At 41.1% G+C, this 18,817-nt stretch overlaps 1 protein-coding gene across 9 annotated transcripts in view, besides 1 other annotated feature; it reads left to right on the top strand.

Moving 5' to 3' along the window:
- CTPS2 (CTP synthase 2) overlaps positions 1 to 18,817 on the top strand; it is a 124,912-nt gene that overhangs the window by 100,315 nt on the left and 5,780 nt on the right. For all 9 annotated transcript variants that reach the window (NM_019857.5, XM_006724503.4, XM_047442260.1 and 6 more), the window contains one exon: positions 2,911 to 3,055. In NM_019857.5, coding sequence (NP_062831.3) covers positions 2,911 to 3,055 — 145 coding nt within the window. The remainder of the gene's footprint in view (positions 1 to 2,910; positions 3,056 to 18,817) is intronic.
- Positions 5,186 to 5,686: an enhancer, noted in NCBI's record as "H3K4me1 hESC enhancer chrX:16625033-16625533 (GRCh37/hg19 assembly coordinates)". NCBI's record gives its function as "activates a minimal SCP1, AML or CMV promoter by ChIP-STARR-seq in naive H9 embryonic stem cells {active_cell/tissue: H9 hESC(naive)}" and the evidence as "EXISTENCE:reporter gene assay evidence [ECO:0000049][PMID:30033119]".

Genomic DNA, 18,817 nt, shown 5'->3' with positions numbered 1-18,817 from the left:
GAAGCCTCTTAAATCTTCCTAGCATGTGAGAAGGCAGAAAATTTCTTAAGCAAATTACTATTTGTTTACTTTGTTTAAGTACTTATTCACTTTTAATTCTTCTGGTTGTCATTATTGTCATCAAATACTTAGAAGGTTCTTTCATCATAAGGATTTAGATTCCCACTGGGGCTTTCAAATTTCATGTGGATTGAAAAGGAAATGAGAGCTGCTATAAAACCTTGCAGTTTTTAAAAGCGGACTGCAAGCAGTTATTAAGGAAAATTCCCCAGAAGATTTTGATCTTAGATACCCCTTGGAAACATATCCACGAATCTCCACTGTTCCTGAAGGGTTCTGAGAGGAACAACAAAGCTTGAGATTAATATTATATAATGTCAGAATTTGGTTTAAAGCAATCAACAGCATTATTTTAAAGATAATTTTATCTAACTGATAGAACATCATCAAAATAAAAACTTTTTACTTTCTCCTCATATTGGCATAGAGGATTTTTTGGATAAAGTGATTCAGAGCAATGATCCATTCATTCACATAGTCTGTCCCTGGCTATTACATGATTACATTGCTCAGCATCTGTCTGTAGTGATACAAAAGCACAGTTACTGTCTGCTTTTTTTTCAAAGATGTCCCTAGATGTTATGCAGTAAGATTTATTGTCTCTTAAATTTTAAGCTACATTGCTTAATTTCTTCTCTAAGTGCGGATGATTTCTCTGCGTTTCTTGAGGGAATACATTCCTGGGAGAAGGTGGCATTCCCCTTATCAGGCTTTCTTACCTGCATATTCCTCTAATTCAAGGAGGTTTCTTCTTAGATGTAGAGGATTTCTACACTGGATTTTTCTGGGATCAGAGCTGTCCTATAGAACTCACTGGATTTTTCTGGGATCAGAGCTGTCCTATAGAACTCACTGCAATGATAGAACTAGTCCACCCTATCCAATATGGTAGCCACTAGCCACATGTAACTTTGAACATGTTTCAAATGCTGAATTAATGTTAATGAATTTAAGTAGCTACATATGGCTAGTGGCTACCATTTTCTATAGCAGAGCTTTTTTTTTTTTTTTTTAATAATTTCAACTTTCATTTTGGATGCAGGGAGTACATGCGCAGTTTTTTTTGTTTGTTTGTTTTTGTTTTTGAGATAGGGTCTCACCCTGTCACCCAGGCTGGAGTGCAGTGGTATTATCATGGCTCATGGCAACCTCCACCTCCTGGGCTGAAGCGATCCTCCCATCTCAGCCTCCCAAGTAGCTGGAACCACAGGTGCACGCCACCACGCCCAGCTAATTTTTGTATTTTTTGTACAGACAGGGTTTCACCATATTGCCCCGGCTGGTCTCGAGCTCCTAGGCTCAAGAAATCTGCCCACCTTGGCCTCCCAGAGTGCTGGGATTACAGGCATGAGTTACTGTGCTTGGCCCACGTGCAGATTTGTTACATGGTTATATTGTGTGATGCTAAGGTTTAGGGTATGGATCCCATCACCCAAGTACTGACTAGAGTACCCAACAGATAGTTTTTCAACTCTTGCACTCCCCTTTCCTTCCTCCCTCTGGTAGTTCCCAGTGTCTATTGTTCCCATCTTTATGTCCATAAGTACCCAATGTTTAGCTCCCATTTATAAGTGAGAACATGCAGTATTTGGTTTTCTGTTTCCGTGTTAATTCGTTTAGAATAATGGCCCCCAGCTGCATCCATGTTGCTGCAAAGGACATGGTTTCGTTTTTATGGCTGCATACTATTCCATGGTATATATGTGCCACATTTTCTTTATCCATTCCACCATTGATAGGCATCTAGTTGATTCCATGGCTTTGCTATTGTGAATACTGCTGCCATGAACATGTAAGTGCATGTGTCTTTTTTGTAGAATGATTTATTTTCCTTTGGGTATATACCCAGTAATGGGATTACTGAGTTGAATGGTAATTCTGGTTTAAGTTCTTTGAGAAATCTCCAAACTGCTTTCCACAGTGGCTGAAATAACTTACATTCCCACCAACAGTATGTTTTCTTTTCTCCACAGCCTTGCCAGCATCTGCTGTTTTTTGACTTTTTTAATAATAGCTGTTCTAGCAGGGCTTTAAATGATTACCTTAAGAAAGTAGACATTTGCATTCAATCATCATTTCCTTATTACTGTAGTAGTAGCTTTGGATCTTTGCTGGTAAGTGATGGGAATTTGTGATTTTGAATTCCATACTAGATTTTAGATCATTTGATAAAGCACCTCATTGAAAGCTTTAAAGTTATATTTACTTCCCCCTCTTAAACTTATTATATTTTATTATCTTTAGTTTGAGTCATAGCCAGGGACAGGATATTTGAATGAATGGATCATTGCTCTGAATCACTTTGTTCAAAAAATGCTCAGTTTTGTGGTGCTATGAGTAATACCCAACTTAAAGCTGTGACTAGAAAAGCAATTGTCCTCGTTGGGTTCCCAAGGGTAGCCCAATGGGTTGATATTGTGCTGGTTTATCCCAGGGGACACTTACCCTGGGAAAGGAGAAGACCTTGCAGGAAATGGCCTGAAGCCACCTAAAGAAAGAAAGACCCAGGGTTAGCCTAAAGTCCAAGGGAAATTGAACCAACATAAATCTACAAAGTGCCTTCAAAAAGCAGGCAGATTTGGGGAAAGTGGAATTCTTCTTGCCATTCAAAAATTTTTGCTTGACTTTGCTCACTCTGACACCTTCCGCACATAAAATTTCCAAGATGTGTTTTACAATTTGAAATTCCACGAAGGAATGGATGGATAGTGAAAGTAACTGGCTGTAATGATAACAGGTTAAAGAATCATCTTACCATTTAATGAGTTTTCATATTCAAAGATAAGAAGATCTTTAAAGCAGTTCTCCTGTTTGTCTGCTTTAATCGCATCGTGATTGTTCTCATTTCAGATCATCCTTATTTTGTTGGTGTCCAGTTCCATCCTGAGTTTTCTTCTAGGCCGATGAAGCCTTCCCCTCCGTATCTGGGGCTGTTACTTGCAGCAACTGGGAACCTGAATGCCTACTTGCAACAGGGTTGCAAACTGTCTTCCAGGTAACCAGCTTACTGCTCTTAGCAATAAACCAAGATGCATAGTTATTAATATCTTAGGGTTTCTTACAAAAATTAATACCACTATAGAATTTTTAAATGTGAAGAATCAGTTTTTTTCTCTTAAACATAATTTTCTTCTCTTTGTGAAAATGATTTAATCACACCTACGGTAGTAATGTGTCAGCTTTCCAAATCGTGATGACACTGGGTATTATTTTAGAAATTTTTTTCATTTTGATAAGTGAAAAGATTGTCTTTTGTTGATTCTTTGATTAATATATATGAATTTTTATATGTTTATTGGCTGTTTGTTTTATGAATAGTTTGTTCATATCTTTTCTTCATTTTGGTATTGTATTATTTTCCTTACTGATTGGTAAGCTCTTTATGTATAAAGGTCATTAATCCTTTGTTAGGCTGCAAATATTTTTCAAAGTGATTTTGCTTTCCTTCTAAATTGTTAATGGTAGTTTTGTTCTCCCTAAAGAGTTTAGTCCTTTTTTATGTTTTTTAAAAATGTATGTAGTCAAATATTTTACTTTTGTGGCTTCTGCCTTTACTCTCATGCCTAACATCTTTCCTTATGGAAAGATTATATAAATAATAACCCCTGTGTTTTCCTCTAGCATTTTTCTGGTTTCAATTTCATAGTTTAAATCTATAATCTATATGGATTTTATTTTCAGTGAAACCTGTGAGGTTGGGATTTGGCTCCCTACTTCCCTGCCAAATTGTCAACGAGTTGAGTAATTTGACTTTGTTTCAGGGATTTCTATTTTGTTCCATTGATGATTTTATCTCTTACACCTGAACCTTTGCCATCCTTTTCATTTTCATAGCATTATTATAAATCAGGACCTTATCGATCCTACTCCCACCATTATTAACATGTTTAGTGTGTTTTGCTATTCCTCCAGGCAAACTGTTATTTATTTATTATTTTCTTAGAGATAAGGTCTGGCTCTGTCACCCAGGCTGGAGTGCAGTAGCACAATCATAGCTCACTGCAGCCTTGAACTCCTAGGCTCAAGAAATCCTCCTGCCTCAGTCTCCCAATTAGCTGGGACTACAGGCACACACCACCATGCCTGGCTAATTTTTTTAATTTATTATTTTTGTAGAGACAAGGTCTCACTATATTGTCCAGGCTGGTCTTGAATTCTTGACCTCAAGCAATCCTCCTGCCTTGACCTCCCAAAGTGCTGGCATTATAGGTATGAGCCACTGTGCCCAGCCTGTACAATGCTTTTTAAAAATCAAGTTTGAATAAAAAATTCCTTAGGGATTTTAAAATTAAATTAAATTAAATTAATTTATTTATTTATTTAGGGACAGGGTCTTGCTCTGTTGCTCAGGCTGGAGTGCAGTGGAGCAATCTCAGCTCACTGCAACCTCCACCTCCCAGGTTCAAGAGATTCTCCTGCCTCAGCCTCCCAAGTAGCCGGGACTACAGGTGTGTGCCACCATGCCTGGCTAATTTTTGTATTTTTTAGTAGAGACAGGGTTTCACCATGTTGGCCAGGCTGGTCTCGAACTCCTGACCTTAAAGTGATTTGCTTGCTTTGGCCTCCCAAAGTGCTGGGATTGTAGGCGTGAGCCTCCGTGTCCCGCCAAAATTTCATTACATTTCAATACTAGTTTGGGGAGAGTTTATTTTTCTTTCTTCTCATCCAAGGATATCGTACCTAATAACTTGAAAAGCAGAAGCAACCATCCAGAATATCATAGACTTTGGTAGGGGTTATTACCACAATAACCAGATATATGTTGTTCAGAAGATTACCACTGCCAACCCTCATTCTGGCAAACAACCCTCGCAGTGTTGCTGTTGAGGGCTGGCAGGATCTGTGTGTGGTGTGCACGTGTGTGCTTGTTACACAACCCTACTTATTTGTGTCATTACCTGCTAGGAGAAGCTCACAGCTCTCTAGCATTTCCTTTCACCATGTGTTCATATGGGAACAGCTTCACATAATTTGCACTTTGGGCATCTTACTGTATTGATGTTCACCCCTTTCAGTGCACTGACTTTCAAACTGTGCTCTCGGAGCTGGAGTCTGGGCTGCTGCGGGAGCAGGCCATGGGGGCTCTGGGCTCCTTCCTGCTTCAGCTGAGCAGCTCCACTTTATCTGGCTCATGTGCCATGGTTCTGCAAGAGAGATTTCATCTGAAGAAGAGCTTCCTGTGTTCTGAGACTGCACAGCTTATGCCACTGATTGGACATCCTAATGTGGTCCCATGTCAGATGTGGGCTGTGACCCTTTGCAGCCGTTTTACAATTCCCGTTATTTTAGATTCTCACACTGAAAGGAAGGTGATAGTGGGACAAGTTAGATGGCTGGGAGAAATAACTCACTTATAACTATCTGGCTGTTTGCAAATACCAACTAATATACAAATCCTGTCTGGCTCGTGTGGACTGCCCACCTGTGTGTTGTATGGCCTGCCAATTCCCGCATGGCGGGTGGTGGTCTCTGGGTAGAGCTTCCAGCGGGGTGTGGTGGCTCACGCCTGTAATCCCAGCATTTTGGGAGGCCGAGGTGGGCAGATCACCTGAGGTCAGGAGTTCGAGACCAGCCTGGCGAACATGGTGAAACCCCGTATCTACTAAATGTACAAAAATTAGCCAGACGTGGTGGCACACGCTGCTGCTAGGGAGGCTGAGGCAGGAGGAGCGTTTGAACCCGGGAGGCAGAGGTTGCAGTGAGCTGAGATTGCACCACTGCACTCCAGCTTGGGCGACAGAGGGAGACCCTGTCTCAAAAAAAAAAAAGGCTTCCTAGTAGTTTCTGAAAAAACTGACTGATTGCTAGTGACTCCTGAGTGAGATATAGTATGTCTCAGAGAGAAGGAAAGACCTCTTAACCAAGCTCTGATGCTGGCATTGGAATTATAGCTGACTAGTAGGCTTCCATGACACTGAGGGAATTCCTACGTGTATCAACCACAAATTGGTACATTCCTTAAGGACAGCCAGCATCTTATTTATCTTTATCTCCCTGGCTCCCTTACACACAGGGGTTGTTTATTACCCATTAAAGTAATGAATGCAGGTAGCAGGGGAGTCAAATCTTGACACATTTCAGAGAGTTTTCTGACAGAGGGTGGTGACTATGAATTAATCCAGTGACAGACACCAGGATTCCAGAGGAACCTTGCACTTCAACTCCTCTCTGCCCAGCTCCATGAGATTAGTGAGCTTTGAAAAGCAAATGACTACTCTGATGCCAGGCTCTAATGTGAGCTGAGTTGGGGCTGTATTTCTGACAAACAAGATTACTGCTTGTAATCAACCCTAAACAATGTGACAAGGAATATGAACACTAGAATAATGACTTCCTTTCCCAGAAGTTGGCGCTGATGATATTCAATTGTATGGCACGTGTACGGCCAATGTCTTTAAAGCATGGAGTGTAAAAATCCTTGCCTTTGAGTTAAGCGTACCTGAGGTGTAACCTCCGCATTCTGCCTAGCGGAGAATATTTATCTTTTAGGGCCTGGGAAGTTGCAGTAAGACTATTATTTTGGGATTTACAGCTAGTGAGCTAAATTCTCAGCTACTTCATTATCTACAGAATGGCAGCAGTTAGGAAGACCAATTTCACCTGGTTTTAGGCTTGTAGTGGGCAGTTCAAGGGCACAATAGCTTCAGGACAGTATTTTTTAGGTTTTTATGAGCTATTTAAAAATACATGCAAAATCAAAATAAGAGTCTTGTTTAGGGGGTCCCCCCAAGACTGCCCACACTTTGGTGATTTGCTGAAAGTAATCAGAATATAGCTGTACTCATAGCTAATATTTATTTATTTATTTATTTAGAGATGGAGTTTCACTCTTGTTGCCCAGGCTGGAGTGCAATCATGTGGTCTTGGCTCACTGCAACCTCCACCTCCCGGGTTCAAGCAATTCTTATGCCTCAGCCTCCCGAGTAGCTGGGATTACAGGCACCCGCCACCATGCCCAGCTAATTTTTGTATTTTTAGTAGAGATGGGGTTTCACCATGTTGGCCAAGCTGGGCTTGAACTCCTGACCTCTGGTGATCCGTGTGCCTCGGGCTCCCAAAGTGCTGGGATTACAGGTGTGAGCCACCGCGACCGGCCTTATAGCTAATATTTATTATGGTGGCAAAGTAAACATGCACAGCAAGATCAGTAATGGGAAAGATAAGTGGAGTCTGGAGAAATTCATTTGCACGTTTCCTATGATCTCTCTCCTGTGATAAGTCACGTCGAGTTCGCCTTCCTTCCAGCAGTGAAAATGCAACTATGCCTATGTGATGTTTCTGCCCAGATGAGCCAGTTTGAGGCTCAGAGTTTAGGGATATTTCGAGGGCTGGTCACATAGGCATTTTCTACCTAGCAACCACCAAAATTCCAGATGCCAGAGGGAAAGCAGGTGTTCACCATAGATCACATTGTATAAACAGCCTAAGCCCAGCAAAATGACCTTATCAGTTAGTAATGGAGCACACATTCCGAAAGCCATGTTCCCGGACACCAGCCAAGAACTAACCCTGCAAGCAGGCCCTTTGAAAGATAGCAGCCTCAAGCCTGCTGTTAACTCTTTTTTTACACGAGTCTAACTAACAAACCATTTTGAAAATAAAAAAATCAAATGGGAAATAATGGTCCATTAAATAAATCATTGCAATTCTTTGCTGATCTCTCTCCTCTGGTGTCTAAACAATTTGTCTCACGTATAAAAGGCAACCACAAATTTGCATGGTCTTGCTGACACATAATGTAAAAGAATGAGACTGCTTCATGTAATTATAAGAAATACATTTCAGGAGAATATGAAGGTGCTTGTAATTGCAAGTTTTCTTTGTTTGTTTGCTTGTTTAAATCTAGAAACAGAGCATCTAATCTCTTTCTGGAATTCCTTTTTTTTTTTTTTTGTTTCTCAGGCTGGTCTCAAGCTCCTGGGCGCAAGCAATCCGCCCACCTTGGCCTCCCAAAGTGCTGAGATTACAGGCATGGGCCAATGTGCCTGGCCTGAGGCCTAGAATTCCATTTTTAAGTAAGGAGAGAAGGATCAGAGTCTAAAGTTCATAGATTGTTTTCTAGCATGTGTGTCTCTGTGGCTGCCTGCAAGGCTCTTGGGAGCAATCACTACACACCAAGTTTAGGCACAACTTCCAGTTTTTATTTGTCAGATCAGAGTAAAACTCTCTTCCTTGGACAGTGCTTGATGTATATCAGAAAGCAAAAACTTAGATGGGGTTCAGTTTGCAGTTCACAGAAATGCAGCTTTTTGGGAAACATATTTTTAAGTATAAAACCAGAATCTTGAGTCATTTGAGTAGCATTTTATTCTAGTTTTGGAACTTTGGATTCCATGTCTCCATCCAGCAATTACTGTCTCTTGTGCAGATAAATCATCTTTTTGTGGCAAAACAGGAAGCAGCGTGGTACAAAAACAACAGGAGGGAAAGGTACTCAGTGATTCACTGTATTTGCTTGACTGTTTCAGACCAAACCCAAAAGCCGAAACTACTTTGTAATAAGAGAGTCTTTAAAGGAAGTACACACCTGAAGCCAGTTCCTTCCGTTTCCTCTTTCCTTTGTGTGCCCCTAGGATCTAAGTCCATTCTCTCCTCTGTGCTTAGCCCTTCCCTCTATATTTGTTGAGTCCTGGCAACAGTCAGGGTGAGAAGGAACCCATTTCATTCACCATTGTCTCTGGTCTCTCTTCTGTGACAATATATCGGGGTTTTTTCCTGCTAAGTAACATGCTGACTTCTAGCCTGGGATGGTTTTGTTTTCTGTTAACTTCTACATGTAGCATTACAGAAAATTTAGAAAAGAGAGAGAGAGAAAAAAAAAGCACCCACAAACCCACCAGCCTAACATAATTACTGTGCTCATTTTCAAATATTTCCTATGAGCCTATACCTGTATATGATTCTTTCTGTGGCTGTAATAATAGTGAGTGTATCTATCTATCTATATAGATATATATACACACACACCCACACTCTTTTATTTTGAAAACTTGCAAACCTACAGAAAAGATGAAAGAGTGATACAGTGACGGTCTGGAGATCTCCTTTGCAAAGGAACATTTTTCTCCATTTTGGTTTTATTTATTTATTTATTTATTTATTTATTTATTTATTTATTTTTGAGACAAGTCTCACTCTGTTGCCCAGGCTGGAGTGCAGTGTCATGATCTCGGCTCACTGCAATCTCTGCCTCCCGGGTTCAAGCAATTCTCTGCCTCAGCCTCCCGAGTGGCTGGGATTACAGGTGCCCGCCACCATGCCCGGCTAATTTTTTTGTATTTTTAGTAGAGATGGGGTTTCACCATCTTGGCCAGGCTGGTCTTGAACTCCTGACCTCGTGATCCACCCGCCTCGGCCTCCCGAAGTGCTGGGATTACAGGTGTGAGCCACCGCGCCAGGCCATTTTGGTTTTTAAATACCAAAAATTTGAAATGAACTAGGGCTCCTGGAAGTAATGGTTGATTCCAGGACTGGGGCAGGAAAAGTACAAGATGAGCCTGGAACATATTGCTGTATTTAAAGCAAGGAACAGCTGAAAATGAAAGGGGTATGAGTTTTCCAAGGTCAAAGAAGCCAGCTTGAAAGGGCACCCACTGGCCTTATTTTGGACAATTTGAACATCAAAAAGAACAATGACAGTATTAGATTATAACACATTTCATTTTCTGAAATTCCATGAGTCCATAATAATACTAAGAAAATACAAAAGCAAAGAAAAAAGAAAAGCCAATTAAAAATGTAGATGTCATCTCTGATGTAATAATGGATTCAAATAAGGATCATCAGTGGATGCTAAAGCCACTGGGTGAAATTTGTAAGAAACAGAATATTCATATGTTTTCAGAATAGCACCATAAATTCTTTATTAATTACAGAAGTTTGTATTTTGAACTTAACACTTCATATGCATTTTTCCAAGTTGCATGAAGTTCATTTTTAATGGCTGCACACTTCACCATTCACTCAACACACCCCCTATGTTAAAGCTTATTCTATCCCAGCCACTGTGCTGGGTGCTTGAATAAGTGCTTAAATAAGAACATGTTCCCTGACCTGGGGACTCATCAGGTAGTATAACTGTTCTCTAAATTTTGGGAGGTGACAGACTTCCAAGATTGTGATCAAAGCTGTGGGCCCACTTCCTGGAAAACTGCCCAAACATACCACTTTGTAGTTTCCTTACATTCATACCCCCAATGCTACCCCCGTCCCCTGCATCCATAGACTTTCTTCTAGGGGTCTTCAGCTACAGACCTTCCCATCCAGGAAAGGGCACAGACCTGCAAGCGCACAGTCCCAGCAGTGTGGGAAATGCTGGCATTAGAGCTTGTTCTCTCTTTCGTGGTTGTACCCAGGGAATGCTCCCAGGTTGCCAGGATTAACTAACATTAAGATTAATATCTTCCTGCAAGTGGTACCATCACCCACACAGTGTGACCTGGCTGGACTCCCCTGGGGAAGCTCAGATTCCTCCTCCCTCATCCCCATTGCTCATAGTCAGCAGGTGCTGGCAATTCCTGTTGTTGGAATTCACTCCATCTTTTGTCTATTTTCTGCCATGCTGCAAGGGAGTATGGCCCGGAGTCAGGACTCTAGCTGTCAACCGAGTTCAAACTGGCTCTTTTACTTCCCAGCTGGCTGTGACCTTGCTCTTCTGTGCATTGCTTTCTTTATAAAAAGGGGATGGTAATAGTCCCCACTTGACATGGCAGAAATGAAGATTAAGTTTCACACTAAATGTAAAGCACTGAGCGTAGTGCCTGGTCTATGGTAGGAACTTAAATGGGAATTATTATGATGATGCTATTATTATTACTTTTCCTTTAGTTCCAGTATCTATCTCTTGCCTACTGCAAAGCCTCCTACTTGGTTTCTCTGCCTCCAGCTTGCTTCCTCCCAATCCGTCTTCTGCGGTTGGAATGATCTCCCCACATTATTTTGGAACTTAAACCCCCCCCCCCCCGATGGCTTCCCTTGGTTTATAGGATAAAATGCACACAAATCCATATGGAACAGCTTGCAGTTCCCTGAACTCCCCAGAGGGTTTTGCCTGTTGTGTCTTGATACACATTCCTGACCTGCTTAGTGAGAGGGGAATAGGGATCTATATCCTATTAGAATGGTTGTTCACGGACTCGTTAGGTGAACAAGGTGAATCGGAGGTGACAAGGTGGCGAATCGGAGGTGAATTATTAGGTGAATTGCAGGTGAGAGTGGCTCCCTCCATTGTTCACAGAGGGTGCATTTCACTCTCCCAGGCATGCTTCTCTTACGTTGCGTGGCTCTGCTCTCTCTTGGACTTGGAGAGCAAGGTACTCTTTTCCCTTGCACAAATCCGACATTCTGTTTCCAGCACTGCTTGAAACTTGGAATCGCTTTGTTTCAAACTTGGAATCACTTTGCTTTTTGACTTTGAGTTGCATGGTTGATGTTGCCAGGGGCCATTCTTGCACCATGTGGTGCAAAAATATTTTACTTCTGTGGGGACACTATTGACAAGTAGGGTAGATGCTATGGATTTTACTTCTGCGTCTGCTGCTTATTGAGTAATTTTGTCCAAGTCACTACTCCTAAACTTGCTGATTCTCCTCCTTAGGGCCGCTGTGAGGGACAGTTGAGGTGGTGCTTTATAAACTCAACTGCTATCAAAATGCCACTTTCCCCGCTTTGTTACACTTCAAGCAAAAGTGAACTGAAATTAACAAAAGATTCTATTTTGCTTTCTTTTGAACTGTTCTTTTAAACATTTTAGAAAACCATTCACCCCTGTGATTGTTTGACTTCAACTCCATACCTTGAGATATTTTTTAGGGTAAATTATTGTTAATGAACCACATTTGAGTACACCTTCCCTTGGGGTGGGATAAACGTTGGTTAAAAGGTGCTTTTAACCAGATCACGGTGCACTGCAGTGTGGATGGTGTGGTGCCAGACACGAATGGAATTAATAGTACTACAGACTACCGTGTGCTTTTACCACCCTGCCTGGGTGGTATTCTACTGTTTACTATGAAATATAAAACTCATTCAAAGCAGACTAAGTTTTTGTTCCATTGTTCTTATATTTTATGGCTTCCAGGGGCCCTTTATGAAGGAAATAAGTATAGTAGTAATACTGCTTTGGGGAAAACTGTGTTCATGACAATCTGTTTTTAAAACATGCTGTTTCACAGGAAACGGATTTTAATATAAAGTATTGTAAGGAACTCATGCATGCTGGGAATCCTAACTATGCCATTAAAATCTTTAAATTCCAACCACCTCTTTCTGTTAATGGAGAAGAAATGGTTTAACAGCTGCCTTGGGGTAGCGTAAAGGTGGGCTATATGAGGCATTGCTATACCCTTTCCCTAGCACCTTGGAATATCTGTTTTCTTATGTTGGGAATTTATTGGGAGCCAGAAGTCCTTGACAAGCAAACTTCACTATGACAAACCTTTCGTTTGTCAAGAGCCACATGTTGGCTGGGCACAGTGGGTCTGTAATCCCAGCACTTTGGGAAGCCGAGGCGGGCGGATCACTTGAGGTCAGGAGTTCAAGACCAGCCTGGCCAACATGGCGAAACCCTGTCTCTACTAAAAATACAAAAATTAGCTGGGCATGGTGGTGCATTCCTGTAATCCCAGCTACTTGGGTGGCTGAGGCACAAGAATCTTGAACCTGGGAGGCAGAGGTTGCAGTGAGCCAAGGTCACACCACTGTGCTCTAGCCTGGGTGCCAGAGTGAGACTGTGTGTCAAAAGAAAAAAAAAGGGGGGGGGTGCCGGGTGCGGTGGCTCACGCCTGTTATTCCAGCGCTTTGGGAGGCCGAGGTGGGCGGATCACCTGAGTTTGGGAGTTTGAGACCAGCCTGACCAACATGGAGAAACCCTGTCTCTACTAAAAATACAAAATTAGCCAGACGTGGTGGCACATGCCTGTAATCCCAGCTACTCGGGAGGCTGAGGCAGGAGAATCGCTTGAACCCAGGAGGTGAAGATTGTGGTGAGCTGAGATTGCGCCATTGCACTCCAGCCTGGGCAACAAGAGCAAAACACTGTCTCAAAAAAAAAAAAAAAAAGAAAAAAAAGAAAAAGAAAAAGAAAAGAACTACATGTTGACCATTGTGGTAAAGTCTTGTCAGTATAGTGATTCCTCTGTGTTGCTGCTGGTGATTTTGGTTTTGTCTTGCAAGAAATGGTACCATAAAATACTTTTTAAAAAGAGAGTTTTCATGATTTGGGAGGCACACGCATGCATAAGAGATATTTGCTGTGATTTTCATTAATGGTAGATAGACCTTTAAAAAAAACTTTTGGCCCTTTATTTCCTTCTCCTGTCTAATTGCCCTGGCAAGAACTTCCAACACTATGTTGAATAGGAGTGATGAGAGAGGGCATCCCTATCTTATGCCAGTTTTCAAAGGGAATGCTTCCAGTTTTTGCCCATTCAGTATGATATTGGCTGTCGGTTTGTCATAGATAGCTCTTATTATTTTGAGATACGTCCCATCAATACCTAATTTATTGAGAGTTTTTAGCATGAAGGGTTGTTGAATTCTGTCAAAGGCCTTTTCTGCATCTATTGAGATAATCATGTGGTTTTTGTCTTTGGTTCTGTTTATATGCTGGATTACATTTATTGATTTGCGTATATTGAATCAGCCTTGCATCCCAGGGATGAAGCCCACTTGATCATGGTGGATAAGCTTTTTGATGTGCTGCTGGATTCGGTTTGCTAGTATTTTACTGAGGATTTTTGCATCAATGTTCATCAAGGATATTGGTCTAAAATTCTCTTTTTTGGTTGTGTCTCTGCCCGGCTTTGGTATCAGGATGATGCTGGCCTCATAAAATGAGTTAGGGAGGATTCCCTCTTTTTCTATTGATTGGAATAGTTTCAGAAGGAATGGTACCAATTCCTCCTTGTACCTCTGGTAGAATTCGGCTGTGAATCCATCTGGTCTTGTACTCTTTTTGGTTGGTAAGCTATTGATTATTGCCACAATTTCAGCTCCTGTTATTGGTCTATTCAGAGATTCAACTTCTTCCTGGTTTAGTCTTGGGAGGGTGTATGTGTCGAGGAATTTATCCATTTCTTCTAGATTTTCTAGTTTATTTGGGTAGAGGTGTTTGTAGTAATCTCTGATGGTAGTTTGTATTTCTGTGGGATCGGTGGTGATATCCCCTTTATCATTTTTTATTGCGTCCATTTGATTCTTCTCTCTTTTTTTCTTTATTAATCTTGCTAGTGGTCTATCAATTTTGTTGATCCTTTCAAAAAACCAGCTCCTGGATTCATTAATTTTTTGAAGGATTTTTTGTGTCTCTATTTCCTTCAGTTCTGCTCTGATTTTAGTTATTTCTTGTCTTCTGCTAGCTTTTGAATGTGTTTGCTCTTGCTTTTCTAGTTCTTTTAATTGTGATGTTAGGGTGTCAGTTTTGGATTTTCCTGCTTTCTCAGCCCAAAATCTCCTTAAGCTGATAAGCAACTTCAGCAAAGTCTCAGGATACAAAATCAATGTACAAAAATCACAAGCATTCTTATACACCAATAACAGACAAACAGAGAGCCAAATCATGAGTGAACTCCCATTCACAATTGCTTCAAAGAGAATAAAATACCTAGGAATCCACCTTACAAGGGACGTGAAGGACCTCTTCAAGGAGAACTACAAACCACTGCTCAATGAAATAAAAGAGGATACAAACAAATGGAAGAACATTCCATGCTCATGGGTAGGAAGAATCAATATCGTGAAAATGGCCATACTGCCCAAGGTAATTTATAGATTCAATGCCATCCCAATCAAGCTACCAATGACTTTCTTCACAGAATTGGAAAAAACTACTTTAAAGTTCATATGGAACCAAAAAAGAGCCCTCATTGCCAAGTCAATCCTAAGCCAAAAGAACAAAGCTGGAGGCATCACACTACCTGACTTCAAACTATACTGCAAGGCTACAGTAACCAAAACAACATGGTACTGGTACCAAAACAGAGATATAGATCAATGGAACAGAACAGAGCCCTCAGAAATAACACCGCATATCTGCAACTATCTGATCTTTGACAAACCTGAGAAAAACAAGGAATGGGGAAAGGATTCCCTATTTAATAAATGGTGCTGGGAAAACTGGCTAGCCATATGTAAAAGGCTGAAACTGGATCCCTTCCTTACACCTTATACCAAAATCAATTCAAGATGGATTAAAGACTTAAACGTTAGACCTAAAACCATAAAAACCCTAGAAGAAAACCTAGGCATTACCATTCAGGACATAGGCATGGGCAAGGACTTCATGTGTAAAACACCGAAAGCAATGGCAACAAAAGCCAAAATTGACAAATGGGATCTAATTAAACTAAAGAGCTTCTGCACAGCAAAAGAAACTACCATTAGAGTGAACAGGCAACCCACAAAATGGGAGAAAATTTTCGCAACCTACTCATCTGACAAAGGGCTAATATCCAGAATCTACAATGAACTCAAACAAATTTACAAGAAAAAACAAACAACCCCATCAAAAAGTGGGCGAAGGACATGAACAGACACTTCTCAAAAGAAGACATTTATGCAGCCAAAAAACACATGAAAAAATGCTCACCATCACTGGCCATCAGAGAAATGCAAATCAAAACCACAATGAGATATCATCTCACACCAGTTAGAATGGCAATCATTAAAAAGTCAGGAAACAACAGGTGCTGGAGAGGATGTGGAGAAATAGGAACACTTTTACACCGTTGGTGGGACTGTCAACTAGTTCAACCATTGTGGAAGTCAGTGTGGCGATTCCTCAGGGATCTAGAACTAGAAATACCATTTGACCCAGCCATCCCATTACTGGGTATATACCCAAAGGACTATAAATCATGCTGCTATAAAGACACATGCACACGTATGTTTATTGCGGCACTATTCACAGTAGCAAAGACTTGGAACCAACCCAAGATGTCCAACAATGATAGACTGGATTAAGAAAATGTGGCACATATACACCATGGAATACTATGCAGCCATAAAAAATGATGAGTTCATGTCCTTTGTAGGGACATGGATGAAATTGGAAATCATCATTCTCAGTAAACTATCACAAGAACAAAAAACCAAACACCACATATTCTCACTCATAGGTGGGAAATTGAACAATGAGAACACATGGACACAGGAAGGGGAACATCACACTCTGGGGACTGTTGTGGGTTAGGGGGAGGGGGGAGGGATAGCATTGGGAGATATACCTAATGCTAGACGACGAGTTAGTGGGTGCAGCGCACCAGCATGGCACATGTATACATATGTAACTAACCTGCACATTGTGCACATGTACCCTAAAACTTAAAAGTATAATAATAAAAAAAAAAACAAAAAAAAACTTTTGGCGAGGCATGGTGGCTCACACCTGTAATCCCAGTACTTTGAGAGGCTGAGGCGGGAGTATTGCTTCAGTCCAGGAGTTCTAGGCCAGCCTGGGCAACATAGTGAGACCCCATTCCTACAAAAAATAAAAATAAAAGGTTAGATGGGCACGGTGGCATGTGCCTGTAGTCCCAGCTACTCGGGAGGCTGAGGTGGGAGGATCTCTTGAGCCCAGAGGTGGAGGCTGCAGTAAGCTGTGATCGTGCCACTGCACTCCAGCCTGGGTGACAGAGCAAGACCCTGTCTCAAAAAAAATTTTTTTTAAGGAAATGACAAGGACCATTGCATGGTGACTGTAGTTTGCTTTTTAAAAATCATTATTCATTTGTTTTTAGATCAGTACTATCCAATATAACTTTCTACGCTGGTAGAAATGTTCTATAATCTGCACTACCATATATGGTAGGCACTAGGCGCACATGGCTACTGAGCACTTGAAGTGTGACAGGTGCAAATGAGGAATGGAATTTTAAATTTTATTTCATTTTAACTGATTTAAATTTAGATAGCCACTGTGGCTTGTGGCTACCATATTGGACAGTGCAGTTTAAAAATTTTCCCCTCTTCTTGGGAGGCCGAAGCGGGCAGATCACTTGAGGTCAGGAGTTTGAGACCAGCCTGGCCAACATGGAGACCCTGTCTCTACTAAAAATATAAAAAATTAGCTGGGCGTGGTGATGGGTGTCTGTAATCCTAGTTACTCAGGAGGCTGAGACAGGAGAATTGCTTTAACCTGGGAGGTGGAGGTTGCAGTGAGCCCAAATCACTGCACTCCAGCCTGGGTGACAGAGCGAGACACACTATCTTAAATAAATAAATTAATTAAAAATTTCCTCTCTTCAAATGTAACAAGACACATAGGGACATGTCTGTATTTTATACCACTTCATAAAATTTAACATGCAAGACTCTAATATATGATAATTCTTCCCTGTGAGAAACGTGTGTGTGTGTGTGTGTGTGTGTGTGTGTAAAAGATTGCTGAAAAAGATAGGTTAGTCCTAAGATAGAGCTGGATATCTTGAATTAAATGAAAATATACCCAGACACATCTAGCTTATGACTTAAGTTTGTTCTGTGTGAAACAGAAATGAACCCGGCATAGAGTAGCGCTCACGGCGCATATGCAGCACAGAGTGCACTCACATTTTATTGCATGTGCAAGAGCCACTGTTGGTCTGCATTCAGATGACCCACATTTTATTTCTAGCAGTTGTTTTTTATTGGCAGATGAACGTCCTAAAATCAGCAAGTTCAGCAGTAACGTATATTTTGATAATTGTGTTCTTGAGTGTCATGGTTTGTTTTATTGTCCTACCGCCAGTCTCTGAACATATGAAAGACAATTAGTGAACCCAGTCATTAAGCTTGGAGATGAATAAATTCAAGCTGAACTTCATTTTGTTAAACTCAGCCTGTGCCATTTGGATGTGTTGGCAGAGCTTGGGGCAGACAGCCATCAGATAGGAAATGAGAGCTGTTAGATTAGAAACAGGCCCGCCCAAGTCCACTTGCTAATGTGGGTAGGAAATTATACTTGGCATAGGAAACAATCCTGAAAATCATACACTTAGCAGTTTTTATTGGTTCTTTATGTTTCCATGACTGTTTGAGGAGATACCAAGTTATGAATATATAACCCCTATCAATAGCAACATCTTATGTTTTTATATAGTTTTCAGAGCAAGTTTATACAGTTTCTTTTGACTCTCAAAACATTTTGGTGAGTTTGGAGGTATTATTGCCATTTTTTCTAGACTCAGAAGTCAATGACTTGTCCAAAGGTACGTGGCTCATAAATAGTATAACCAGGAGTGTGGGGGGAAGATATGAGCCCACTGTATTCTTCCCCAGGCTTAGAGATGGGGAAGGAAGTGGGTGTAAAATCTGGCACGCAAGGAAATGAAGTTCCCTCAGTCCTTTGGCCCTTGTCACTTGCGTTAGGGGACATGCCCTAGTGGGTCCTGCTGCCCTACCTGTGGCACAGCTTAAACCCTACCCTGTGCCCCGAGCTAGTATAATGGGGATTCTGGCTTCACCTTGAAGGATCTATGTGCCAAGTAAGTCACTTGAACGTCCTTGACCTTCATGTCATCTCAGATAGGAAGTTGAGTGCAACTTCCAAATCCCCTTTCTTGGCTAATTCTATGACACAAAATGTTGCATAGAACGAGGAAGGAGTCTCCATTTGAGCAGGGAGAGTGCATGAATAGGATGTATCAGCTTTTTTGGCTGTTGTTTTTTTTTTCCTCCAAATATTCTTCAGTTATTCCTATGTACCAGTAGAAGGGATTTCTCTGAACTAAAGTCTAAGTAGGAGGTATCTTTCTACTTGATTGGTTTTAAGGATATGTTG

Source organism: Homo sapiens, chromosome X (assembly GCF_000001405.40).
Source record: "Homo sapiens chromosome X, GRCh38.p14 Primary Assembly".
Classification (NCBI taxonomy): Eukaryota; Metazoa; Chordata; class Mammalia; order Primates; family Hominidae; genus Homo; species Homo sapiens.
This window is presented reverse-complemented; position numbering and strand designations above follow the sequence as displayed.